At 54.9% G+C, this 26,038-nt stretch overlaps 1 pseudogene across 1 annotated transcript in view, besides 6 other annotated features; it reads left to right on the top strand.

Annotated features, from left to right (window-relative positions):
- Nucleotides 1-26,038, top strand: part of PI4KAP2 (phosphatidylinositol 4-kinase alpha pseudogene 2) — a 44,494-nt pseudogene that overhangs the window by 279 nt on the left and 18,177 nt on the right. Inside the window, 1 exon segment of the transcript NR_003700.1 lies at nucleotides 25,119-25,219. The product of NR_003700.1 is annotated as a phosphatidylinositol 4-kinase alpha pseudogene 2 (transcript).
- Nucleotides 6,418-7,015: an enhancer, noted in NCBI's record as "H3K4me1 hESC enhancer chr22:21864487-21865084 (GRCh37/hg19 assembly coordinates)". NCBI's record gives its function as "activates a minimal SCP1, AML or CMV promoter by ChIP-STARR-seq in naive H9 embryonic stem cells {active_cell/tissue: H9 hESC(naive)}" and the evidence as "EXISTENCE:reporter gene assay evidence [ECO:0000049][PMID:30033119]".
- Nucleotides 17,412-18,007: an enhancer, noted in NCBI's record as "H3K4me1 hESC enhancer chr22:21853495-21854090 (GRCh37/hg19 assembly coordinates)". NCBI's record gives its function as "activates a minimal SCP1, AML or CMV promoter by ChIP-STARR-seq in primed H9 embryonic stem cells {active_cell/tissue: H9 hESC(primed)}" and the evidence as "EXISTENCE:reporter gene assay evidence [ECO:0000049][PMID:30033119]".
- Nucleotides 20,427-20,627: a silencer, noted in NCBI's record as "peak4465 fragment used in MPRA reporter construct". NCBI's record gives its function as "represses an SCP1 promoter by STARR-seq MPRAs in K562 erythroleukemia cells {active_cell/tissue: K562}" and the evidence as "EXISTENCE:reporter gene assay evidence [ECO:0000049][PMID:32103011]".
- Nucleotides 22,993-23,899: an enhancer, noted in NCBI's record as "H3K27ac-H3K4me1 hESC enhancer chr22:21847603-21848509 (GRCh37/hg19 assembly coordinates)". NCBI's record gives its function as "activates a minimal SCP1, AML or CMV promoter by ChIP-STARR-seq in naive H9 embryonic stem cells {active_cell/tissue: H9 hESC(naive)}" and the evidence as "EXISTENCE:reporter gene assay evidence [ECO:0000049][PMID:30033119]".
- Nucleotides 23,900-24,806: an enhancer, noted in NCBI's record as "NANOG-H3K27ac-H3K4me1 hESC enhancer chr22:21846696-21847602 (GRCh37/hg19 assembly coordinates)". NCBI's record gives its function as "activates a minimal SCP1, AML or CMV promoter by ChIP-STARR-seq in primed H9 embryonic stem cells {active_cell/tissue: H9 hESC(primed)}" and the evidence as "EXISTENCE:reporter gene assay evidence [ECO:0000049][PMID:30033119]".
- Nucleotides 24,807-25,714: an enhancer, noted in NCBI's record as "NANOG-H3K27ac-H3K4me1 hESC enhancer chr22:21845788-21846695 (GRCh37/hg19 assembly coordinates)". NCBI's record gives its function as "activates a minimal SCP1, AML or CMV promoter by ChIP-STARR-seq in primed H9 embryonic stem cells {active_cell/tissue: H9 hESC(primed)}" and the evidence as "EXISTENCE:reporter gene assay evidence [ECO:0000049][PMID:30033119]".

The following is a 26,038-nucleotide window of genomic DNA, read 5'->3' as shown; positions in this document are numbered from 1 at the left end:
TGGGACTGCGCGCGTGGGGGACGCGCTAGCGTCTGGCGGGCCTGGGCTGGGGCGCACGCGGGACCCCTGGCAGGCCCGGGCTTTGTGGGCCAGATGCCCGGAGGGGCGCGGGCGGTGGGGCACCCGGGGCACAAAGCCCACCGGGCCGCGCCAGGCCCAGGCGGCGCGGGTCTGCGGAGCGGGGGTCGGCGGGCGAGCGGGCGCCGGCTCTTTGTGCCTTTTCATTAGCAATCTAATCCGAACAGCGTCGGGCGAGCTGCGCTGCCTGACAGGCGGGAGGGCTCCCATTATGCAAACGGCCCTGCGCCCGCGGCCGCCCCCTCGCTAGAGGATTTTGCGATTTCCAGGACTGCGGTCCTGCACCGTCTGCGGTCTCCTCTCTTGCCTCCTCCCCGCGGGAAGACTGGCCACGGCAGGGGCAGGGGCGGGCCTGGAGGGGCCGCTCCCAGAGGGCCGGGCTCTGCGGCTGGTGGGCTCGCTGCCCTGCCCCCAGACCTCTCCTGTAGGCAGCCGCTTGGCAGGAAGAGAGATGGGCTTGGGGGAGGGGGTCGGCTTTCAGGGGGAAGGGACCGGCTGGCTGAGGGAGGGGGCTGAGGGGCCCCAGCTTGTCACTCTCTGTTTATCTTCCAAGATGGTTCATATTCACACAGGCCTGGGTGTGTGCGTGGTTGGGGGGGGGGGGGAATGCCTCTCCCTGGGGGGCAGTGACTTGCTGAGAGGAGGGAATGAGGCCAGATAATGCTCCCAACGGCCCCACCCAGAACTGCCTGGGACTGCCTGTGTAAGGGAGCCCAGTGCTGAGCCGGATGGGTTGGAGCGGTGTTAAAGTTATTTATCCATGTCTTCTCCTGTCCCCCGCACCCCTAGTCTTTTCTAGTAGGAGTTGCCAAGCACATCTGGAAAGCTGTGTTCCCCGACCCCCCACTCCCCCAACAGCAGGAGGGGTGTAACCCAGGGAAGCCACCCCTCTGACATATGTGCTGGGGGGAGGGGCAGAGCCTTGCCCCTAGGAATCCTGTGGCGGTGGGTTGTTGACTGATGTGGGATTGCTGTGTCTCTTGTGCTGTCGGAGAGCTGGCAGGTAGTGGAGGGGCCTTGGGAGCTCCTAGGCTGAACTTGGGGCTGTCCTCCAAGGATCCAGGATGGAGGGATGGAGCTGGGTCACTCAAACCTAAGGCCTTTCTGGGTCTAGCATTTATTGCTTCCTGGCTTCTGGCTTGGCTTCTTTTCGTCCATTCTCATCTGCCAGTGTCTGGACTCCCTGGGCCTTCAGGCAGGCATTTTCAGGAGCACAGGCCATGTGGTTGGTCTGGAGCCCTGTGTCAAGGAGAGTGTGCGTGCTTGGTGGAGCAGGGTTGCTGGAGTAGTGTGAAAAAAAGCAGATGAGCTGGCCTCTGGAGACAAAGCTGTGTGGCAAGACTGCTGGTTTAGTGGGCTCTGAACACCAAGAACAGGGCCGGGAGTCTGATACTTGGGGGCTGAACTGAGTCCTGTGGCCCAGGATTGTTGCCTGGAAGTGAACGTTCCGTCTTGTGCCATTGAGACTGTGAAGATCTCTGGGTCCCACAGGACGAGCAGTAGACTTGGAAGGCTGGGAAGAGGCTCCCCAGCTGCCTGCCTTGGGAGGTCAGAGCTCTCAGGTGGGTCGGCAGGCCAGTGTCGGGCTGGGGGAGGGAGGTTGTAGTAGAGTGCCTGTGGCCCAGCTTCTCTGGTCAGTTGGCTCTGAGTGCTGCTGTGTGCCCAGCAACCTCTCCCTGCGGTGTTTTTCTGCCAGTTGTTGGAACTTGTAGATTAGTCACTGAGTTTTTACGACCGATTCCTGAAAAGAAAAATCTCCCTCTGGTTGCTGCCTCTGTGTAGAGGAAGAAGCAGCCCGAGGGAGTCAGGCCTTTAATTAAAGCAAAACCGAAATGATTGTCGAAGTTGCTGGAAGGAGAAGAGAAGGCGCAGGTGGGGCAGGGGTGATGAGTCCTGTTGTGCTGCATGATACCTGCTCTGGGGACAGGTAGGCACGATCCCATCCTCGATCCTTGGTCTTGGCCAGCAGCCCAGCCTTCTCCACAAGCTGCAGTCGCGGATTAATCCTCACGTAGTGTTTTCTTTCCGTAGATCAGATTTCTCATTTTGTTAATAAGCGCAGCCTCCCATCCACTTGAAGTCAGCTGTTGTGGACGAGGAGCAACAGGGTTTTGCATTATTGAGCTGATAGCCTGCCGCCTCCCCTCAAGTCCTTATTGTTTGCGGGGTCAGATCTGAGGGGTGGGGAAGTGCCATTTAATCAGCAGCCAGCCCCTGGAGAAGAGCTGGCGGGGCAGTTCTGGAGAGTGAGAGCCGTGAGGAAGGAATAAAGTTCAGTTTACCCAGGGGACTTGTGGTTCCAACCTTATTGCTTGGTCTGTTGGCCTGGAGCAGTCAGCCCCACCCCATACCTTGTCCTGCCCGCTGCCCCCAGTACCTGATCCCTGGGAGAGTGGGGCACTTCTTCTGGGCTGCTCTTGCTGGCCTGGGAGGCAGCTTTCACCGCGGGAAGAAAGAACACATTGGGTTCCTCCCTTCTTGTCTCCTCCGAGCCTGGCCTAGGACGGACCCCTGTGGGGCAGTGAGAGGGGAACTGGACTTGGTCGGTCGCAAAGTCTGTAGTGCATTGCTGGCTCTGCCATTTACTCCCGTCATGACCTTGAGCAGTGATTGACTCTCCTGCCTGGTTTCTACAATGGGAACAGAACTGGAGTTTACATTCATGTATCGCTGTTTTCTGGAGCTCAGCCTAGGGAAGGCAGACACTCAACAAATGATTATAAGATGGGGTGATAAGGGCTGGCATCTAGCGGAGCGCAGAGGGCATAGCGGTGGCGTGGGAGGAGCCGGCCGTGGGCTGGCTGAGAACCCTGGATGCCATGTGGGTTGGGGTTGGCCTGGAGGGGAGGGGTTTTAACCAGGAAGTGACTGCTACTGGGTTTTAAAAGGCAGTGGTAGGGTAGAGGGTGGCAGTGGAGACAGCTGGAGAGCACTGAGGACGCGGACCCACGGGTACTGTGTGAGCTGTGAAGCCCGCTTGGGAGACCCCACTGCCAGCCAGGCATGTATGCGGCTCTTTTTCAAGCTTTTTATTCATTCCGCCACATTTTCTGAGCGCAAAGTCAGTGCCTGGCCCCCTTGGTTTAGACCAAGTCATGTTGGCCCCTGCTTTCTGGTGCTCACAGACTTGCCTGGGCGGGGTGATAGAGGCGCTTGCAGTTCAGCACGCGGCCCGTTCTCCTCTGGAGGAGGGAAGGAGCTGCTTTTGGAAGTTAAGTAGCTTGCTGGGGGCTGGAGGGTAAATGCCTTTGACTCCACCGCCTGTGGAGGCCCATATAGTGTGGTGTCTGGAGAGATCTGAGATCGCACTAGGGAGGAGTGGGGCTGAAAGCCCCCTCCCTAAGAGAGGTCCTGGCTCCCATTTAGGGGCTTCTGAACCAGCCCTTCCAGTTTGACTCTGCCTGGCACCGCCAGGGTTCGCTTCCTGCTGGGAGGGGCCTTGCCCTAAGGGTTAGGGACCTGGGCTGGGGGAGGGCTCTGAGGAGGGGCTGGGCCCCGAGGGACTGAGGGACTGCAGGCTTGCTTGCCTTGAGCCCAGTTTTAGCTGGGAGTGGCAAAGCGAGAAAAGCTGGTGGGGATGGGAGCTCTGTGTGGGCCCCCAGTGAGCTTGATAAGGGAGGCGAGGCTGGGAGCTGGTTCCAGCCCGCCAAAGTTCAGGAGGGAAGGGCCAGACTGCCTGAGAGGGGTATGGCGGGACTGAGTGGGGAGAGGGACTCCAAGAAACTGCTTGGGACCCTCGGGAAGGTGGCCAGGCTTTGGGGAGCCCCTCCTTCTAACTATTCAATTTATTTTTTATGGTAATGTTAGTGGGTGGAGAGTGGGAGTGCAGCCTCGGTGTTAGAACAGGGGGACTTGGGGGTCCTTCTAATGGTGAGAGGGCACAGGGATGGGTCAGCTAGGTGTCTCTTACCTAGAGGCACCGGTTTTTTGTGAGGTGGGCAGCGCATCGTAGGATCTTAGGTGCATGTTTTCTGTTTAAGGGTGATCACACATGGGTTGTGGTGAGGAGGGAGTATGTGGAGTCCCCAGCCTTCTTGTGGCAGTTCCCAGTGTGACTAAAAGAAGGCAGGGATTGGGTTTGGTTAGGTGGGTGCTTCCAGGTGAGAGTTGGCCTGCTGTGGAAATGGAAGAGCTCCTGGCTCTGGCAGGGGTGTGGCTGCTGTACAGACTTGTCCCCTGCCGTCCCGGGCTGTTGCCCTGCGGCTTGGGCTTCGGCTTCATTCCACCGGGTGGGTGGGTTCTCTGACAAGTGTGGGAAGGGGCCGCTCCCATTACCACACTGAGGCCTGAGCCCCTTTGAGGGGGAGGATCTGTTGCATGGCCTTTGCAAGCCCTCACCCCTGCTGCGGGTCGGGCGGTGAGGCCGCAGCACTCGGAAGACGGTAAACTGTTGGTGAGCTCTCATTCACAAAGTAAATGAGAAGGGAGAGTGGGGACTGGGACTTCGGTGGCCTGTCCTTGTGTGGACACAGTGGGGCTCTTCTGGGTGATGAGTGCAGGCCGCACATTCACCCAGCACACGTTGCCCATGCTGCCTGGCAGAGGCCTGCCTGCTGGTGCTCTGGTTCTCACCTTGAGCTATACCTGTCTCTGGGGTGGGCCCAAGGCACTAGCTTTTCCTGAAGCTTTTGAAGTGAACCTGATGTGCAGCCAAGTTTGAGAACCGCTCTTCTAGCAGGTGATGCATCTTTGTTGATAATAGAATCCACAGGCGGAGGGATGAGTAGCCCGCGCTTTTACCTGCGGTTCTCACTAACTGCTTTACTCCGAGGGCCTGGTGGGGTCAGCGGTTACCCAGTGAATGAGTTGGCAGAATCAGTCATGCCTGTTCCTGGGTAGTTACTGGGCACAGAGGGTGAACAGCAGGAGGAACCTAGCCCATGTGCACTGTTGGCTTCTCCTGGGAGGTCCTCTGGAGAGCTGCCTATAGCCCTCAGCTGTAGGCGGGTCCTACTGACCCCGTAGCACGGGCTTTTGGAGTCTGCCTGGCCTGGTTTCCTGGCTGCATTCTTGGGCTCTCGTTGGCCTGTATGTAGTCTGGCGGGACCTCACATAGTGCAGTTTGGGTTGAGCGGAGGTGGCCAGTAATGGGGGCCCCTGGGACTCCTGGGACCTCTGTCTTCTTCTCCCTGGAAGAGAAGAGATTTGTCCCTGAGGTTGGTTTCTTGGGCTGTGTTATCTGGGCAAGGTATATGAGGCCACTAATAGGGGCAGAGAAGGAAGAGTGGGAGGGGACTGAAGGGGGACGGGAGACAGAGAGCTTCAGGTAGGGCCTGGCTGGGCCTGGCCCCCTTTGCTGGAACAGAACAATAGGTTGTTCTGGGGTTTTGTTTGTATTTGAGGGAGAGAGGCTATAAGACGGCTCCTGCCAGCTAGGAGCAGCCTATCATGTGAGGGGACGGGTAGGCCCCTGGGTGTGGTTTTGGTCAGCATCCTGGGTAGGAAATCTTGCCTCTTAGAGATGGGACAGCAACCTGGCCAGGGGCAGTAGAGGAGATGGGAAAAGGGGCTCAGAAGGAAGGGGGTGGTGCACATCTTGGTAGCTGGGTCCAGGTGGTCCTGTCCTGAGTGAGTGATCTGGGGGTGGATTCCTGCCCTAGGTCTTGCGCCCCTTCACCCCAGCCCTGTCCGGGACCCCATGGCCCTTCCCCTTTATGGAAGCAGCTGCTATTATAGTTTCTGTCTGGCTTGTACCAGGGTACTTGGCTTAGAAGATGGGAAGAGGATGGTCCCCACGGAGTTCTGACAGAAGGCTAGGAAGGTAGTGGTGAAGAGGGTAAGCACTCATCCTGGGCTCGTTCCTGGGCTCAGCCTGGCAGTGGGCATTCTATGCCCGGTTCAGTTGTCAGAACACACCGGTGTGGTCCTCATCATTTTGTCAGTCCTCGTTGTACAAGTGGCTCAGAGAAGTTAGAGTCGTACATCTAAGAAGTGAGTGGCGAAGCTCCAGGTGAAGTGTGTGAAAGCCTCGGACACATTTGTGAGTGAGGACTCCTTACTCTGCGCAGTGCTTGGGCTGGAGGGCAGCTGAGGTGTTCATTTTGAGTGGGGTAGTGGGTTGGCTGCTCTGGACAAAGCCAGGGAATCTGGCTCCCAGAGTGGGAAGGTGGTCCCCTGCAGGTCCCCCATTCCTCCCCAAGGACCAGGGGCCAGAGAGCGTTCTCTGGGTCGTCCTCATCCTTCCAGTCACACGCAGCTCCTTACTGTCTGGTATGTGGGAATCTTCTGCCCCACGGCAGCCTGTGCCTTTGCCGAACACCTCCAGGAGAGCCATGTGGGGGATGGTCTGGACGTTGCAGGGACCAGAGCCGAGCTCTTGAGATTCTCTGAGTGTGGACAAACGAGGTGCTCAGACATGGCCCTTGGTGGTGTGGGGACACAGGCAGGATAGCTCCTCTCGGTGACTCTTGGTAGATTGTCTTCTGGTAGATGGGCTGGGGGTGCGGGTTCTGGTGCTTCAAGGTGGTTGTCCTCTGACTGTGAACCAGAGCCCAGGGACCAGGCGTCAGCCCCGTGCTGGCCGAAGGGAGAGGGTTGTTGCCAAAGTCCCACATTCCAGGCATGTGTTGATGCTGATAAGGCAGCCTAGGGCTGGCCTAGCCACTTTGGGCAGGAGGGGACTTTGACTTCATGCCCCCAGCAGGCAGCATGCACATCTTGCTTCCTGGTAGCACCCCTCCCCCACCGACCCCCTCTGCTTCCAGGTGCAGGGCCCCCGCCGGGTCCTGGTCACACAGCCTGCAGAGGCAGTGCCGCTTTCAGCAGCGTTGCTGGCTCTTAGTAGCAGGCCTCTGGAGGCCTGTTGATGGATTCTGCCAGCCCCACCTCTTAGAGTATTCGAGGATGCCATTGGAAATGGCACTTCCTTTTATTTGCTGAAATTTGTTACTCTTAGGTTTGGCAGTGGGCTCCTTGTCCAAGAGTTCAGCTTTTGGGGAAGTGTAGTTTTGTGGAAAGATGACTCCTGCTTCCTCCGTGGGCCAGTCTCTTAAGCTCTCCAGGCCTCATTCTCCTTGCCTGTAAACGAGTTGTTAGAAATATTTGAGGCAGTGCTTGTCAGCTATTCTCAAAGTTGTTTGCAGACCCTGAGGGTCCCCGATACCTTTTTCAGTATATTTAGAAGTTACAAGGTCAGATGCGGTGGCCCACGCCTGTAATCCCAGCACTTTAGGAGGCCAAGGCGGGCGGATCACCTGAGGTTGGGAGTTCCAGATCAGCCTGGCCAACATGGTGAAACCCCGCCTCTCCTAAAAATACAAAAATTAGCTGGGTGTGGTGGCGCACGCCTGTAGTCCCAGCTACTCAGGAGGCTGAGGCAGGAGAATGGCTTGAACCTGGGAGGCGGAGGTTGCAGTGAGCCAAGATTTTGCCACTGCACTCCAGCCTGGGTGACAGAGCGAGACTCCATCTAAAAAAAAAAAAAAAAAAAAATCACTGGCCTCTGCCCTGGGTGGACACTTGCACTGCCAGAGTTGTGTTCCCCACTGTTAGCCAGCACTGGGGGCTGAGACCCACCAGTTCTACACATGTCCAGGGGAGGCAGTACAGATGACTGAGTATTAAATCTAGACCTTTAATTACACATATTTTTACTTTTCTGTGTGATGAAATAGGAAGGATGCATGAGGCTTTTTTTTTTTGAGATGGAGTCTCGCTGTTGCCTAGGCTGGAGTGCAGTGGCGCAATCTCAGTTCACTGCAACCTCCGCCTCCTGGGTTCAAGTCATTCTCGTGCCTCAGCCTCCCGAGTAACTGGGATTACAGGCACCCGCCACCACGCCTGGTTAATTTTTTCTTTTTTTTTTTTTTTTTTGAGACGGAGTCTTGCCCTGTCGCCCAGGCTGGAGTGCAGTGGTGCGATCTCGCTGACTGCAACCTCCGCCTCCTGGGTTCAAGCGATTCTCCTACCCCAGCCTCCCGAGTAGCTGGGATTACAGGCGCCTGCCACCACGCCTGGTTAATTTTTTCTTTTTTTTTTTTTTTGAGACGGAGTCTTTCCCTGTCGCCCAGGCTGGAGTGCAGTGGTGGGATCTCGCTCACTGCAACCTCCGCCTCCTGGGTTCAAGCGATTCTCCTGCCTCAGCCTCCCGAGTAGCTGGGATTACAGGCATGCGCCTCCATGCCCAGCTAATTTTTGCATTTTTAGTAGAGATGGGGTTTCACCATGTTGGTCAGGCTGGTCTCGAACTTCTGACCTCGTGATCCGCCCGCCTCAGCCTCCCGAAGTGCTGGGATTACAGGCATTAGCCACCACGCCTGGTGTAATTTTGTCTAGTTTTAATAAAGTCTGGGTTTCGCCATGTTGGCCAGGCTGGTCTTGAACTCCTGACCTCAGGTGATCCACCCGCCCTGGCCTCCGGAAGTGCTGGGATTACAGGTATTAGCCACCATGCCCGGCATGAGGCTTTACAATTTTTTTTTTATTTTTAATTTTTTTTTGGCGATGTGGTCTCCCTCAGTTGCCTAGGCTGGAGTGCAGTGATGATGTAATCACGGCTCAGTGCAGCCTCACCTTCTGGGCTCAAATGATCCTCCTGCATAAGCCTCCCGAGTAGTTAGGACCACAGTCATGCGCCACCACAGCCAGCTATTTTTTTTTTTTTTTTTTTCCAGAGATGGGATCTTCCTGGTCTTGAACTCCTAGGCTCAGGCAGTCCTCCTACCACGACCTCCTAAAGTGTTGGGATTACAGGTGTTGAGCCACTGTGCCCAGCCTACATAGCAACTTTGTTTTTTTTTTTTTTGAGATGGAGTCTCTGTTGCCCAGGCTGGAGTACAGTGGCACGATCTTGGGTCACTGCAACCTCTGCTTCCCGGGTTCAAGCAATTCTATTGCCTCAGCCTCCCAAGTAGCTGAGATTATAGGCACGTGCCACCACACCCGGCTAATTTTTGTATTTTTAGTAGAGACTGGGTATCTCCATGTTGGTCAGGCTGGTCTCAAACTCCTGACCTTGTGATCGCCCACCTCAGCCTCCCAAAGTGCTGGGATTACAGATGTGAGCCACCGTACCTGGCCTACATAGCAACTTTTATTTATGTTTTTCCTTGAAGCGGAGTCTTGCTCTGTTGCTAGTCTGGAGTGCAGTTGCGCAATTCTCCTGCTTCAGCCTCCTGAGTAGCTGGGATTACAGGCGCTTGCCACCACACCTGGCTAATTTTTGTATTTTTAGTAGAGACGGGATTTCACCACGTTAGCGAGACTGGTCTTGAACTCCTGACCTCAAGTGATCCACCTGCCTCAGCCTCCCGAAGTGCTGGGATTGCAGGCGTGAGCCACCGCGCCTGGCCCATAGCAACTTTTAAGAAACTCATTTGTCGAGCTTTAGTGTAATATCAATGAAGAATAGACAGTTTTCTGAAAAAGTTATTAAAATACTCCTTCCTTCTTTCTGTGTAAGGCCAAATTTCTTTAAAGACTTTAATCAAAACCGCATATCCTAACAGACTGAATGCAGGAGATATGAGAATCCAGCTTCTTCTATTAGGCTAGACATTAAAGAGATTTATAAAAGTGTAAAGCAATGCTATCCTTCTTTTTTTCTTTTCTTTTCTTTTTTTTTTTTTTTTTGAGACAGTCTCGCTCTGTCGCCAGGCTAGAGTGCAGTGGCGCGATCTCTGCTCACTGCAACCCCCACCTCCCGGGTTCAAGTGATTTGCCTGCCTCGGCCTTCTAGCTAGCTGGGACTACAGGTGCGCGCCACCACACCTAGCTAATTTTTGTATGTATATATATATTTTTTAGTAGAGATGGGGTTTCACCTGTTGGCCAGGATGGTGTGGATCTCTTGACCTCGTGATCCGCCCGCCTCGGCCTCCCAGAGTGCTGGGATTGCAAGTGTGAACTACCGTGCCCAGCCCTTTTTTTGTTTTGTTTTTCGGATAGAGTCTCACTCTTATCACCCAGGCTGGAGTGCAGTGGCACAATCTCTCCTTACTGCAACCTCCGTCTCCTGGGTTCAAGGGATTCTGCTGCCTCAGCCTCCTGAGTAGCTGGGATTACAGGCACCTGTCACCACGCCCAGCTAATTTTTGTATTTTTTTAAATGTTGTTGTTTTTTTTTTTTGAGAGGGAGTTTTGCTCTTGTCCAGGCTGGAGTGCAATGGCGTGATCTTGGCTCACTGCAACCTCTGCTTCCCCCAGGTTCAAGTGATTCTCCTGCCTCAGCCTCCCCAGTAGCTGGGATTACAGGCATGCACCAACACATTTGGCTAATTTTTGTATTTCACCCTGTTGGGCAGGCTGGTCTCAAACTCCTGACCTCAGGTGATCCACCCGCGTCGGCCTCCCAAAGTGCTAGGATTACAGGCATGAGCCACTGCGTCCAGCCTATTTTTTTTTTTAAGACAGAGTTTCGCTCTTGTTGCCCAGGCTGGAATGCAATGGCACAATCTTGGCTCACTGCAACCTCCACCCCACACCCTCCCCTGGGGTAAAGCCATTCTCCTGCTTCAGCCTCCCAAGTAGTTGGGATTACAGGCACCTGCCACCACGCTTGGCTAATTTTTTGTATTTTTAGTAGAGATGGGGTTTCACCATGTTGGCCAGGCTGGTCTCGAACTCCAGACCTCAAGTGATCCACCTACCTCAGCCTCCCAAAGTGCTGGGACTACAGGCGTGAGCCACTGTGCTCAGCCTTTAAAAAAAATTTTTTTGGCCGGGCACGGTGGCTCACGCCTGTAATCTCAGCACTTTGGGAGGCTGAGGCGGCAGATCACGAGGTCAGGAGATCGAGACCATCCTGGCTAACACGGTGAAACCCCGTCTCTACTAAAAATACAAAAAGAAATTAGCCAGGCGCGGTGGCGGGCGCTTGTAGTCCCAGATACTCGGGAGGCCGAGGCAGGAGAATGGCGTGAACCCGGGAGGCGGAGCTTGCAGTGAGCCGAGATCACGCCACTGCACTCCAGCCTGGGCCACAGAGCGAGACTCCGTCTCAGAAAAAAAAAAAAAAAAACTGAATAAGAGGGCACTGTTGTAGTACATGGTAACATCAAATACAGCAACAGCCCAGATGCAGTGGCTCACACCTGTAATCCCAGCACTTTGGGAGGCTGAGGCTGCAGGATGGCTTGAAGCCAGGAGTTCGAGGTTGCAGTGAGCTATGATTGTACCACCGCACTTCAGCTTGGGTGACAGAGCAGGACCCTGTCTCAGAAAAAACCCCACAAAACAGTAATAGAGAAGCCACATAAGCAGATGCTCGTTAGGAGCCCTGACTATTTAAGAATGTAAACAACACAATTTTAGAACCAGTGGCAAGGAGGGTACTGGACATTTCCATCTTCCCCACGTGCCTCCTTATCTTTCACATGTTGTTTCACTCTGTCTCTTCTCAGCATTGGGTCTGACCAGCATTTGCTCACCTAATGAATGTTTATGAGTGCCTGCTGCATGCCTGCTGCTGTGGCTGCTTGGGACACAGGGTCTAACTTTGGGTACTGGTCTATGGGGTGGTGGGGGTAGGCAGGAGGGAAGCAGCTTGGCAGCTGGTGCTGACGTTGGAAGCGGGGGGACAACAGAGGCAGTTCTGGCTTCACAGAGGAGGGAGTCGTGAGGGGGCAGGCTCCTCCCAGAGTAGGGCACGGCCTGCAGGAGCTCTCAGGTGTGTCTGTGGAAGGGATGAGGTGGGCTTGATGCCCCTGTGGGAAGTGCTTTGCATGCCAGGCCTGAGCATGGACTTTATGCTAGGCATCAGGAATTTATTGAAAGCTTTATTTATTTTTTTAATTTTTTTTTTTTGTATTTTGAGATAGAGTTTCACTCTTGTTGCCCAGGCTGGAGTGCAATGGCGCGATCTTGGCTCACTGCAACTTCCTCCTCCCGGGTTCAAGTGATTCTCCTGCCTCAGCCTCCTGAGTAGCTGGGATTACAGGCATGCGCCACCATGCCCAGCTAATTTTGTATTTTTAATAGAGATGGGGTTTCTCCATGTTGGTCAGGCTGGTCTCAAACTCCAGACATCAGATGATCTGCCCGCCTGGGCCTCCCAAAGTGCTGGGATTAAAGGTGTGAGCCACCATGCCCGGCCCATTGAAAGCTTTAAGCAGGGGAGTGGCTTGATGAGATGGGTGTTGAGAAAGATAACTCAGGGTTATTGGACTCTGAATTGGAGGGTACAGGGACTAGGCGAGGGTTGGCTGGAGGGGTTGCAGGGGGGTGACTGTGTTCTAAACGCTGATATTTTCACTTAGAGTGGCTCTGATTCTGCCCTTCTTTCTCCTGTAGACCTTGGGAGGTTGCCTGGGATTTCTCCCTCCTGGACAACTTCTGTTGAGTGAAGCATACCTGCTACCCCAGGTGTGGAGGCCCCAGGTTCTTTTGCTTTGTATGATTAGGACAGGGTGATATTTTCTGGGTTATCTCTTGTGGGAACTGAGCCCTCCAAAGCCCTCATTTGTGCATTGTTGTCATAGCTGCCCAAGTGTGTGGCCTTGCTGAGTTTGACGGCTGTGGACCAGGTGATCTCTCGGGTGGTGAAAGGGAGGTGCTCTGTGAGTGCACCTCAGCTTTAGCCTCTTGGCTTCTCCCTGGATTGGGATTTCCAGGGAGGTCTCTTTCCTCTTTCTTTTTTCTCTTTCTTTTCTCTCTTTCTCTCTCTCTGTTTTTTTGTTTGTTTGTTTGTTTGTTTTTTAAATGAGACAGGGTCTTGCCGTGTTGCCCAGGCTGGTCTTGAACTCCTGGGCTCAAGCGATCCTCCTGCCTCAATCTCCCAAAGTGCTCAGATTAAAGGCATGAACCACCACACCCGACTTTCCTTTCTTTTGAGACTTCTGCACAGAGCAGGCTCAGCTTCCTTAGTAGACTTAGCCATTGAACTCTAAGAAGTTATTTACAAAGGTGTAAATAGGCCGGGCATGGTGGCTCACGCCTGTAATCCCAGCACTTTGGGAGGCCGAGGCAGGCGGATCACTTGAGGTCAGGAGTTTGAGACCAGCCTGGCCAAGATGGTGAAACCCTGTCTCTACCACAAAAATTAGCTGGGTGTGGTGATGGGTGCCTGTAATCCCCAGCTACTCGGGAGGCTGAGGCAGGACAGTCGCTTGAACCCGGGCAGCAGAGGTCGCAGTGAGCCGAGATTGTGTCACTGCACTCCAGCCTGGGCGACAGAGGAAGACTCAAAAAAAAAAAAAAAAAAAACAAAGGTAAATTACATGTATATATGTGTGTGCACAAATCTTAAAGAATAGAGAGATAAGTAGTGGTAAACCTACTATTGGTTGAATCGTGGGTGTCCCACTAAGCGTGACACCGTTGTTCCCTCATGGCCACATAAGAAATAGCCTCCCAAGTTCCTGGGACACCTCATGCACTTCTCCCTGGCTTATTCCCACTTCCCTCTAGAAGCCAACAGTCTTCTGAATTGCGGGTCAGCCATTCGCTGGCTTTTGTCGGTTTCCCACCTTTGTCTGGATCCTGAAACTGCGAATGATTTTGGCTCAGTTCGCTGGGAGCCGGGTGTCCTGCACTCTTGGGACACCAGGAGCAGCAGTTCCTGTGTTCCCATTCTCCATTTCAGTGTCCAAGGTGGCGCCATCCACACATAATCACCTGTCCTGCTGGCAGTGAGCATTTGGGTGGGTTTCTGGGTTTTGTTTTTGCTGCCTTCTAAGTAGCTGACTTTTCACCCCCAAGCTATGCTTCTTGAGGCAGAGAAGTGCCAGTTTATTTTGTTTTCTGTCTCTAAATCCAGTTCCTTAATGCACCACTGAGACTCAGTTTAGAAGTACAGTGAAACTTTGTGAGCATTTTTCTCCCTGAGTTTGAATGGATCCCTCTCTCATTCTTTGAGTTCTTGGGCACTTGTCTCTTAGACACTTTCAAGTTACCTACTGGACAGGAGAGACCTCTTCTCTATAAAGTATCACACTTGGAGGCTTTTCAGGCACAGGACCATAGATTGTAATATTTTCCATAGCAGTTGCCCAATTTTATCTGTAAAAATTGCTTTTTAAGGCCTGGCACAGTGGCTCACACCTGTAATCCCAACATTTTGGAAGGCTGAGGCAGGAGGATCACTTGAGCCCAGGAGTTTGAGGCCAGTCTGGAAAACATAGTGAGACCTCATCTCTACAAAAAATTTTAAAAATTGGTTGGGCATCGTGGCATGCACCTTTAGTTCCAGCTACTCAAAAGGCTGAGACGGGAGGATCCCTTGAGCCCAGAAATTAGAGCTATGATCGCGCCACTGCACTCCAGCCTGGGCCACAGAGCAAGACCCTGTCTCCAAACAATCACAAAACTTCCAATGGATGCCGAACGTATAACTTTTTTTTTTTTTTTCTTTCTTGGAGTAAAATAACTTGATCCTTGATCTTTGGCTGTAGCTCCTGAGCCATTTGAGGCACTGGGGGGTTTGTGTGTTGATTACCTATGAAGGAGCAAGTGGGCTGTTTCCTTCTCCCAGCGGCTTCCTTTGACCCCAAATCCCTGAGAGTCTCGCCCATTTTCTTCTTGGCTTCCTCCCTTTGATATGCCCAGCCGGCTCCTGCCCTACCTGGCTGCCACCAGGACCTGCTGGAGGCGGTTGCTGGGAATTATTTGGTGTCCTGTTTGAACCTCGCTTGCCGTGCTCCCAGATTTCCTGTTTCTCCTGGGCTTGCCTTTCAGGATTTGCAGAACCCCTTCTCCTTTAGAAGTGTCAACTGGGGCTGGGTGTGGTGGCTCACGCCTATAATCCCAGCACTTTTGGGAGGCCGAGGCGGGCGGATCACCTGAGGTCGGGAGTTCCAGGCCAGCCTGACCAACATGGAGAAACCCCGTCTCTACTAAAAATACAAAATTAGCCAGGTATGGTGGTGCACACTTGGAATCCCAGCTACTCGGGAGGCTGAGGCAGGACAGTCGCTTGAACCCGGGAGGCGGAGGTTGCGGTGAGCCGAGATTGCACCATGGCACTCTAGCCTGGGCAACAAGAGGAAAACTCTGTCTGAAAAAAAAAAAAAAAAAAGTCAATTGGACCTTAGGACAACTTAAAAACATTATCAGGTTTTTATCTTTTAGATAGCAGAGATGAGTCTGCTCTTAATAAGGATTTACAGTAGTCTCTCTGTTTCCTGTGGGCTCCTGGCTGGCTTGTGTGAGCTCCCTCCTCTAGGATGGGCACTCCATCCTGGACATTGCCGCGTTGCCAGCTGTCCTGCCAATATTTTGCTTCCTGTGTTGTTGTTATTGGTTGGGGGTCCAGGAGAGGTTGCTGCCTGGACTGAGTCTACTTGCTGATCAGGATGAAGTTGATCTCTGCTTCCCTTCTGAAGGTTTCTGTGCACGTATTGAATTCAAGGACAGCCTACGTAAGAAGTGTGCACAGCTCCAAGAGTTCTTCACAAATGATTATGCCCTTGTAACTAGCATCCAGAGTGCGAAACACAACCCTGGAAGCCCCTCACGTATCCTGAAGCTTGTAGTCACTCTCAACCCCCACCCATAAGATTAGTGCTGCCTGCTTTTGAATGTATGCAAATGGAACTGTAATAGTCTTTTTGGCTCTGGCATCTTTGCTCAAAAGTATATTTGAGAGATTCATCTGCGTTGTTTGTAAGTCAAACCATGTGAAATTATCAGCAGCCAGCTGTTTTTTTACCCCTAAAAGGTAAATTCATACAGTTCAACCTAAACGTTCTGTCCTGTTCACTGCTGGCTCATAGTCTTTTATACCTGCAGCTGTCCCTTCTCAGGGTGGGCATAGTTGTTTTCCATTGTTGGGCCTTCATGAGTGTGCCTGCCTGTTTGGTGTGCATTACGTGTGCATTCTTGTTGGCGTATACCTTGGGTGAGTTTTTGGGCCCACAGCTAGCTAGCTAGCTAGCTAGCTAGCTAGCTTGTTGGCTTTATTTATTTAGAGACGAAGTTGGCTCTTGTCGCCCAGGCTGGAGTGCAGTGGCGCAGTCTCAGCTCACTGCAAGCTCTGCCTCCTGGGTTCAAGTGATTCTCCTGCGTCAGCCTCCCAAATAGCTGGGATTACAGGAGCCTGCCACCACGCCCGACTAATTTTTGTATTTTTAGTAGAGACGGGGTTTCACCATGTTTGCCAGGCTGGTCTCAAACTCCTGACCTCAGGCGATCCACCCACCTTGGCCTCACAAAGTGCTGAGATCACAGGCGTGAGCCACCACCCACGGCCTTGGGCCCACAGTTTTAGATTGTGCCATCCAAGGGTTTTCTAAACCATGTGAGTTTTCTGGCCAGGTGCGGTGGCTTATGCCTGTAATCTCAGTACTTTGGGAGGCTGAGATGGGCAGATCACTTGAGGCCAGGAGTTGGAGACCAGCCTGGCCAACATGGTGAAACCCCATCTCTACGAAAAATACAAAAATTATCTGCGGGTGGTGGCGCACTGCACTTCTGTAATCCCAGCTACTCGGGAGGCTGAGGCAGGAGAATTGCTTGAACCTGGGAGGCGAAGGTTGCAGTGAGCCATCTCGCCACTGCACTCCAGCTTGGGTGACAGAGCAAGACTCTCTCTCAAAAAAATAAAAAATTATAAAGTATGTGAGACTTCTGGTTGCCTTACTGCCTGGCCAACATTTGGTGTTACCTTTTTCCTGATGGGCTTTGACGTTCTTATTGTTTCTGGAACAGTCCTGGTCTTGTTTAAAAACATCCCCATTTTCCTTTCATCCCTGGGAGATACTCTTTTAGTCTTTGTTTGGCTAGTCAAAATCCCGTCTTTAGTATCTGTTGTTGAATTTTTGTGTTTTTGTTTTTTCTGATTCCCTTTCAGCATGTCATCTCAGTCTTGTCCCAGCCCGGGGGTCAGGCGGTGTTGCGTACAGACGGTGCAGTGGCTCCTTCATGCTGGTTGCCTCAGAGCCTTTGCCAGGCCTGGAGAACTGCATAGGTGCAGGACTGCCAGTAGTTCTTCCTGCTCTTTGATCATTGAAATGTTTTCTTTTGTGAAGTAATGATGGTAGAAGATGATAGGGTTTCTGTTTGTTTCTAATTCTAGTCTTTACTTGGCATTAAGAAATTGTTAGCTGCTAGGGTTGATTTTGAAATTGTGAAGTTGGAGAGTCCCTCCTGGAGCTGTGGGTTGGATGGCTGCAGCTCTGTGACTCAGCTGTGCTGGGTGCCTCCCTTTGGGGCTCAGTTACCTCCTTTTAAGGTGTCCCTAGGGTGAGAGAGATGATCACGATAGTCCCTTCCACCTGGGCGGCCCAGGCTTTCCTCGCCCATTTAGTGCCTTTCATGTAGAATTTCCACCTGTTGTCTGCTGTGCTGCCACTGCTTGTCCTCCCTCCCTGCCACACAGAGCTGTGTTCTCTGCCTGCCACTCACGCCTACTTCTCTGATCAGGGTTTGTGGAACCCTCCAGCGTGGTCACCATTCTGGTACCTGTGGTAACACGCTCAGCCTTGGTGTGGCACATTCTAGGTCTACCGTTTGTATTCACCAGCCTGTGAGCTTGTGTACATGGGACATGTATCTTCGTTTTGGGGGCTTTCTCCTTCCACTTGATGCCCATCCCTTGAGCGTTTACTACTTGTGGAGCGCTTGGCTTTCAGGCCGTAGAGAGCTTTCCAATCAGTGGTGTCCAGGTAAAAACAAAAGAAGGAAAAAAAGCTTCTAACCTAACCCTTCTCAGACTTGACTGTGTGTTTGAGCCCCCAGGGTTCTGGTGGTTAGGGCTGGATGGAGTCTGAGCCTCTGCGTGTCTAACAAGATCCCTGGTGGTGCTGCTGCTGTTTCTTGGGTCATGGCCAGTGAGCAAGAAGAGCAGGGAAGTGGGCTGGAGAGGACTGCAGAAACCAGCACAGGGCCTGTTTTGCCTCCTGACATGTGTGGATGCCAGATTCCTGCTTTTTCCTCACCTACTAGGAACAGCGGCTGCACATCCTCTGGTGGTCTTGCGTGGGCTCCTGCTCTGTGGCTGTCAGCGAGCCTTTTACCCCATGCTCAGGCCCCTCTTAGGGGGCAGGGTAGTGTTGGGATGGAGTTTGGAGGTGAGCACAGCATTCGTAGTCACTATCACAACCTTAAATTGTTATTCTGCTTCTTTTTTTTGAGACAGAGTCTCACTCTGTCACCCAGGCTGGAGTGCAGTGGCGCGATCTCGGCTCACTGCAAGCTCCGCCTCCCAGGGTCAAGCAATTCTGCCTCAGCCTCCGGAGTAGCGGAACTACAGGCGCGTGCCACCACACCCAGCTAATTTTTTGTATTTTTAGTAGAGATGGGGTTTCACAGTGTTAGCCAGGATGGTCTTGATCTCCTGACCTCATGATCCACCCATGTCAGCCTCCCGGAGTGCTGGGATTACAGACCGCACCTGGCCGTTATTCTGCTTCTTAAAGCAATGTTCCCCTGCCTGTCTCCAATATCCTGTCTCAGAACTGTCAGCCAGACTGTGCCAGGCCTGGGGCCCTCCTTGGTGCCAGCACTAGCAGGGGAAATCAGCTGCAGGTCTCCAAGGTCTTCCTGGCCTCATTCCTTGCTGGCTCCAAACCCGGAAGTGATGAGGAGAGGGAGGGGACTGAGGCTGTACCTTCTGGGGGAAGCACAGTTTGGAGGCACTTTCGGTCCAGCTCTCCTCTCAGCAGCCCATTCCAGCCTTTTCCTTGTGCTGGGGTGTTAGCCCGGGCTTCCTCACCTCAGAAGGGACAGTACCCATGGGCGGGTGGCTCGGACCATGCAGGGCTTGGCCCTGCTGTGGGCAGTACGAGGTCATCAGTAGGTCCCATGGGCATTTCAGGATGGGCTTGGGAAAGTCACTGGGCTGGGGTGGATGCTACCTCCCTCACTTTAGGCCACAGGGCTGGCCTGAGGAGCAGAGGAGGAGGAGGCCAGCCTCAGGTCCCAATCGCTGCATCACCAATGTGTTGAGTGGAACCCGAGTGTTTATTTTGTAGAAGCTGCGTTGGAGAGAGCTGGGCTCCTGGCATTTGTGGAGCCTGTTGCTTTCCAGGAGGATGGTCTGGGAGGAGAGCCAGGAGCTGCTGGCCGGCATCCAGGTCTGGGCTGGATTACATGGCTGGGCTTGCCCAGAGCAGTGAGCCCCACCCACCACCAGCCCATTCCTGAAGGGACAGGGAAGGAGGTCATGGAGGGTGGGGGTGTTCCCAGAGGAGCAGCAAGCACAACCTGGGCCTCCAAAGCAGGCTGCATGGGGGCTCCACCTTGTCACTTCTGGTGGAGGAGCTGGGCAGACCCCATGCCCTCACAGTGAGTTTGGGAGAATACACCCAGGTGGGGCCCTGCTGTGGATAGGCAGGTGGTGCTGGGGGGTGGGGGAGTGAGGGTGGAGGTGCAGACTGGAGTCCCTGCTCCTGGCACACCAGTGCATGGAGGGCGGTGCCTCCTCTAGCTCCCCCAAGCAGCTTGGCAGTTGGAAGCCATGTGTGAGTGGCATCCCTGGCCCTGCCTGCGTTGGGCGGGGGGGTCATCAGACTACAACTCTGGAGTCAGGCTTTAGGTCCTCACTCTGCTACCTACATGCTCTTGTGACCCTGGGCAAGTTGCTTAACCCCCAAGAACCTTTAATTTCTTATCTGAAACTGCAGAGATAACGCCCCGCTCACTGGGCCTGTGGGAAGATTGAGGAGATCAGACCTGCCCACATGTAGGCTGCCATCTCATACAGGGCTGTGGCGGTGGGCGAGGTGCAGCCTTCGCCCCTTGGAGCTATCTCTTGTCTACCAAGGCTTCCTCAGGGAGGACTCCAGGCCATGGGGATAGGATGAACAAAGTCCTGGGCTTGTGACTGTGCAGGGCTGGTTGGTGTGTCCAGGGGCTGGGCCTTGGGGCACTTCTGGATACTGGCTGCCTCCTGCCTGGCTGCCTTGTGCCTTCCAGGCAGTCTCTCCCATGGCTTAGGGGCTCCTGGGAAGAGGCTGAGCTCACACAGGGCCACCCGTTGCAGCTGCATCTGTCCCGGCCACACCTGAAGTATGAGGTGACTATAGTTGGGGGTTGGTCTGGAACCAGGGCCGATGCTGACCTTAGACTGAAGTTTGGGAGCAGTGGCAGCAAGTCTGGGGCTCTCTCTGACCCTGGTCAGATGTACTTAGACCTCTGGGTTGTGGAAGTTGCCTGGTGGCCCTGCCCTGCCTAGCATGGCTTCTCAGCCTGGCATGCTTGTCCCTCCCACCTGACAGTGGAGCTCGGGCGGGCCGTGGGCGGCCCTGCTCACTCTCAGCTGTCTTGGCGTCAGCTGGAGGGTTCTCATTTCACTGTTACTTTTGTTTAGGCTGGGAGGTGGTTAAGGTGCTGCTCCTTGGGAGTGGGCTGGGGGGAGCTTCTCCTCAGTCCTCCAGCATAGCTCCAGGCCTCCTGCAGGAAGCCCCTTTCTTGGTAGTAAAGGATAGCTTCCAGGGAGGAAGGTGGATGAGAAGGATCCTAGGAGGGCTAGGCGGGATGGCCTGCTTGGGGTGGCGCCCTTTCCTGGTCTTCACCCTTCTCCCCAGGCCTCCCTCCTGGCTGGGCGTGAGCCAGAAGTTTCAGTCTGAAGGCAGGGGTATCATGTGGCTGAGATGAGTTTGACCCTGAGTTTGACCCCCGCCTGTGGGCCTGGACGTGGGCGTGAGATGTGTTCCTGTCTCCCAGAGTCATGGCCTCCAGAAGGAGCCATGTGGAGGCCCAGCACCTGGAGCAGTTCTGAATGCCTGGCTTCTTGGAGGCCAAGGTTCTAGGCAAGGTGGGTATCCAGGCTGGGTTGGGGCAGTGCCTCTCAGAATTGGGGCTGGAGTTTTCTGCTTTCTGCCTCAGCAGGGATCACTTTGATCTGAAAACCTCCTCTCTCCTGGCCTTTGAAAGATGCTGACTAGAGCACACTCTCCTGCCCTTTGCTGGGTGCTTAGAAGAAAGGCCTTGAGGTAACCCTGTTCCAGCCTCCCCACAGGCCCCTGCAGCCACGTGGACTGACCAGAGGCTCCACACACGGGCAGGTGTGGCCTGACCTCGCTCGCGTAGGATCATGGGCTAGTGGGTCCCCCAATGGGGGGCTGCTTCGAGTGTCAGGAGGCAGCGAGGGGTGCACAGTGCCCTGGCCTCTGCCATCCCCGTTGGTTATTTGGCTGGTCTGTGTTTGGTGAGCGAGTAGAGGGATCCAGAGTGCAGGGTGGTCTTGGCCTGGGGCTTTTGACTGCCCTCTGGAGATGCACTGAGGGCCACCCAGCTGGGGAGCAGCCGGGAGGGATAGGAACCTGTTCCCACCGTGGCGTCTTTGCCCTTCCAATCTGCTTCACCGTCGCCCTTGATCTCTGTGCCAGTTGGAAAATTGAGGCAGAACCAATACCCCTGGGTGATCTGGAAATCATCAGTGGGAAGGGTTGCCTTTGCCCAAGGCTAAAGATGACATGTCCCTGCACACTTTCAGCCCCAGGTTTTCCTACCTTGTGGGGAGGTGAGAGGTCAGGGTGAGTGCTGGGTTTGAGGCTCAGCTGTGCTGTGTGAAGATTGAGAGGAGCCCACCTGATCACATGGACAGAACGCACAGGCTCCTGGGTGGCCCTGCGGCTCCAGTGACATAGCACATGGTCGGGCATACAACAGTGCCCAGGAAAGGTTAGCTGGTGGTGTTTCCAGGGTATCGTGCTGAGCTTCTGAGATGAGAATGTCCTGTGAAAGCCTCTGTCTGGAGGTTTCATTGGAAGTAAAGTTTACATACAATTAAGGGCCTAAAATTGTATTTTCATTTACCTTAACCCAGATTCCCAGCAAGCTAGAGAGCTGCCCTCACCCCAAAGAGTTCCTCATGCCCCGTCCTGGATAGGCCTGTCAGGGCCAGGCAGTGGGCGCTTGTCCCTCGCCCCATCCTGGACAGTCCTCACCTGTCGCTCACAGCCTGTTCTGCTCTGGTTTTTACCCTCAGTCCGTTTTGCCTATTCTAGAACTTGATGTAAATGGAGTCATGCAGTCTGTACTCTCGCAAAAGTCTTCTTCCACTCAGTGCCACGACTGTGAGGTTCATCCATGTCTCTGCATCATTTCTGCCCTTTGTATTTTTAGGGTTTTAAAAGTAATACTTTTGGCTGGGCACGGTGGCTCACACCTGTAATCCCAGCACTTTGGGAGGCTGAGGCAGGCGGATCACAAGGTCAGGAGGTCGAGACCATCCTGGCTAACACGGTGAAACCCCGTCTCTACTAAAAATACAAAAAATTAGCCGGGCGTGGTGGCAGGCGGCTGTAGTCCCAGCTACTCGGGAGACTGAGGCAGGAGAATGGCATGAACCTGGGAGGCAGAGTTTGCAGTGAGCCCAGATCGCCATGGCACTCCAGCCTGGGGGACAGAATGAGATTCCATCAAAAAAAAAAAAAAGGTAATACTTTTTAAAATGTTGAGTATTACAGAAATGAACATAATATACAGATACTATGGTTTTTCTGTAATCCCGCTCCCCAGAGATAATCTTACTTAGCAGTTGGGTATGTGTGTCCCCAAGGTTTTTCTTGCCACAGAATGGACTTGCTGGGCCGGGTAGGCTCTGACTGGGCCTTGCAGAGCAGCTGCCTTACTGTAAGTTCTTTGAGGGCGAACAGAGCGGGGGTGGGGCTGCTGTGGCTGGCCCAGTTCTACAGAGCTTGGGCATGTGCCACCAGTGGCTTGAGAGGCTGGAGTATCTGAGTGCTGTTCCAGCCCGCTAGCACCTGCCTGGGCCCTGGGCCTGCCCTCAGTGTCTGGGGACATGGCTTTCTGGCTTTTTTGTGGCGGGGACTGGGAGGGGAAGGAAAGGAGAGCAGTTGGCATGTTGGCTGTTCCGTAAACAGGGCCGTGTGTCTGCTCTAACAGATGGCCTGGGAAGGTAACCCCGAGGCTTTGTGTTCCTTCCTGCAGACCTTCAGGATTCCGCAGAGAGAGCTGGCCCTCCCTCCAGCTGCTGGGGCTCTTGTCCTTCCCAGCTGGGGCCAGTCCACCTACAGGGGGAATCCTGGAGCTGAGGGATCCTAACTTGGGAGATAGTTTCTGTGCTACCCTTCTTGCCTCTCCCCTGGACCCCTGAAGGCTCTGTCCTAGGGAGGGGATGGGTCACAGCCTTAGGCGAATGCCCAGCTGGCCCCGATAGCCCAGGCCTGCTGCCCTACTGCCTCAGATCCTGGGCGTCCTGGGAGCCAGCGTTTCTGGATGGGCAGTAGGCCAGGGCTGGGCGTGCTAGCCTCGGGGCTGATAGGCGTGCTGCCCGGGCCTGCTGCCAGGGGCTGCTGGGTGCTAGGTGGCATTCTCATCGCAGCCTGCAGTCAGCTGCTTCCAGGGCTGAGCACCAGCATCCGGGCCAGCACCCAGAGCCGTGTTTCTAGTTACCTGGCACTCCCCAGGCGGAGCCCTCCAGGATAGGCACTTGCTGTTTCATGTCCAGCGGTGAGCGGGTAGGGCAGAGCTCTGTGGCTGAGAAGGAAGGAGCAGTGCTTAGTAGGCGTTTCGCAGCAGGATGGCGTGTGCCACCCCCCTGCCCCGCCATGGGGTGAGGCTGCATTGCTGCTCGCAGACACAGTGGCGGCCTAGATGTGGCCCAGACTTGGCCCAGCTGGTGTGGATGGCACGCATGGTGGCATTGTGCTTGCTGTGAACTTTCTGCAGGTGGCTCTGACACCCCCTAACTCAAGTGGAGGGTTCAGGGAGGAGCCCTGCCCTGTTCTACATCACAGCTGACCCAGCCTGGGGCCATCCTTCCTTGGTGGGGAGACCTAGTGCTAGCCTTGGGCTTGTAAAGTGCCCGACAGGGCCAGGCAGTGGGCACTGACGGAGGGTGTTCCCACCCCCATGGCACTCAGGTGCCCCCCAGTCCTATTCTGCCACCCACTCCCTGCGCGGCATCCAGTAGCTGGCCTGGCCTCTGGCAAGGTCAGGTGACCCCTGGCTGCAGAGTTTGGCATGCGCTCTACCCATGGTTGACTGGGTCCTGAGGGGCAGTGGTTGGGGAGCAGATGAAGTGGCACAGGGCTGGATGGTGGTATCTGATTGCCTCCAGTGTGCCACCGAGACCCTCTACCCAGTTTTTCGACTGCTCCCGCCAGTGTTTCAGTGGCCCCTGCCCTACTGGCCTCATCCCAGCATTAGCCCACTGGGCCCAACCCTTGCTAACTGTGGACGCCCTTGGGCTTCCTACCAACAGAGCTGATTCTGCTGCCCTCTGGGCCTTTGGTGGGGTCCTGGACCAGCCATGCACCCCCTCCCCTCACACCCCCCACCCAGAGGGGAGCTGCACTAGGGGCTGGAGAGACAGCTGGCCAGCTGCAGCCTAGGCCTCCCAGCTCTGGGCCGGCACCCCGGGTCTGGTCACATTCCTGAGGGACCTGCTGAGCCTCCCTGGCCCTGGGGGTGGAGTGGGGGAAGGGGAAACGGGGACGGGCCGCTGCACGCCCCTTCCCCGACCCCGGCTCTATTCCGTGGGGGCCCAGGCTGGCAGGTGTGGGGTGCAAGGACCCACCACCTCAGGATCCCCCCTCCTGCAGGACCCAGAGCTCTGGGGGTGGGAGGGAACCCCTCGTTTCCTGGCGGCAGCTGCCCAAGGCTTTGGTGGGCCGGTATTGAAAGCCCAGGCCTGCAGCTTGGGTGAGCCCTTAGGCAGTGAAACCTCTGGAGAGGGAAGGCCATGTGGTCAGGCCAAGCGGGCTAGGGGGCTGGGCCCTCTGGGCAGGGAGGCGGTGAGAGCAGATCAGGAAGGGAAGGAACGGGGGAGCCAAAAGCGGTTGAGACTGGTTCTTATAAATAGCCCTTGCACAAGTGGCTCCAATTTTGACCTTTTGTTATGTAAATGTGGCCAGCTTGGGAAGGGCCCTGCCCAGGCCTCCTGCTACCACACCCGCAGGCCAAGAATTGTGTGTCTGCCACCAGCGCCCCCTGGCCTAGGTGGCCCCTGGGTGTCCTTAATCTCCTGTGTGTGTTAGAGGGGCAGGCATTGCACCCACCGAACTCCCTAGACCTGTTCGCTGGTCCTTACTCTTCCTGGCTGTCAGATCCAACTACCAGGCTCTGTGGCCACAGTCTCCTGCTGGGCTGCCCCTGGTGCCCCAGCCAGAGACCCCCAGGTGCGTCCCTTCATCGCCCTTCCCTCCCTTCTTCGCTGATGGCTGTCTGGGTGACTGTGTTCGTCTTCTCTTCCCCAGGTGACCAGGCATTGATGCACCCCCAGGAAGGCCACGCGCTCAGGAGGCCCCCCCGCCCCGCTGGCTGCTGCTCACATGGTGTCTGGGCCCTTGGCACTCTGGTGAGGCGCAGGGGAGGGGGGACCGCCACTGGCCCCTTTCCCCGGAGTTTCTGGGTGGCACACAGCCCCACAGCTCGGCCTCTATCTGTCTGACCCGTGGTCCTTTGTGTGCACACAGCACTGGGCAGTGTGGAGGGAGCCTGGAGGCCACTGCCCTCTTCCAGTCCCCTTGCCAGTCTCAGGGTACCAGGTGTCTGGGTGCTGGCAGAGCCGGCACTGATGTTTTCTGGGGTCACCAGAAAGCCCTGGTTTCACCACAAATTGTGACTGTCAGGACACAGTGCTGCTATGGTCAGGATTCCTTTCCATATGCTGCTTCAGCCTCAGACCTCGGTGGGCCTTAAGAGTAGGGGCTGCTCAGCCAGGCGCAGTGGCTCACGCCTGTAATCCCAGCACTTTGGGAGGCAGAGGCGGGTGGGTCACCTGAGGTCGGGAGATCGAGACCAGCCTGACCAATATGGAGAAACCCTGTCTCTACTAAATATACAAAATTAGCCGGGTGTGGTGGCATGTGCCTGTAATCCCAGCTACTTAGGAGGCTGAGGCAGGAGAATCGCTTGAACCCAGGAGGCGGAGGTTGCGGTGAGCCAAGATCGCACCATTGCACTCCAGCCTGGGCAACAAGAGCGAAACTCCGTCTCAAAAAAAAAAGAAAAAGAGTAGGGGCTGTAGCTGTTCCCATTTCACAGGGCACTGGGGGTGCTCCTGACCACGTGTCAGCCCTCACATTGTACCTGGGGCTCTGGAGCCCAGATCTGTCTCTCTCCTCTCCACTTCCTTAGTTCAGGTGCCCTTGAACCTCTGGCCTCTCTGTCTGGT

This window comes from Homo sapiens, chromosome 22 (genome assembly GCF_000001405.40).
Source record: "Homo sapiens chromosome 22, GRCh38.p14 Primary Assembly".
NCBI lineage: Eukaryota > Metazoa > Chordata > Mammalia > Primates > Hominidae > Homo > Homo sapiens.
This window is presented reverse-complemented; position numbering and strand designations above follow the sequence as displayed.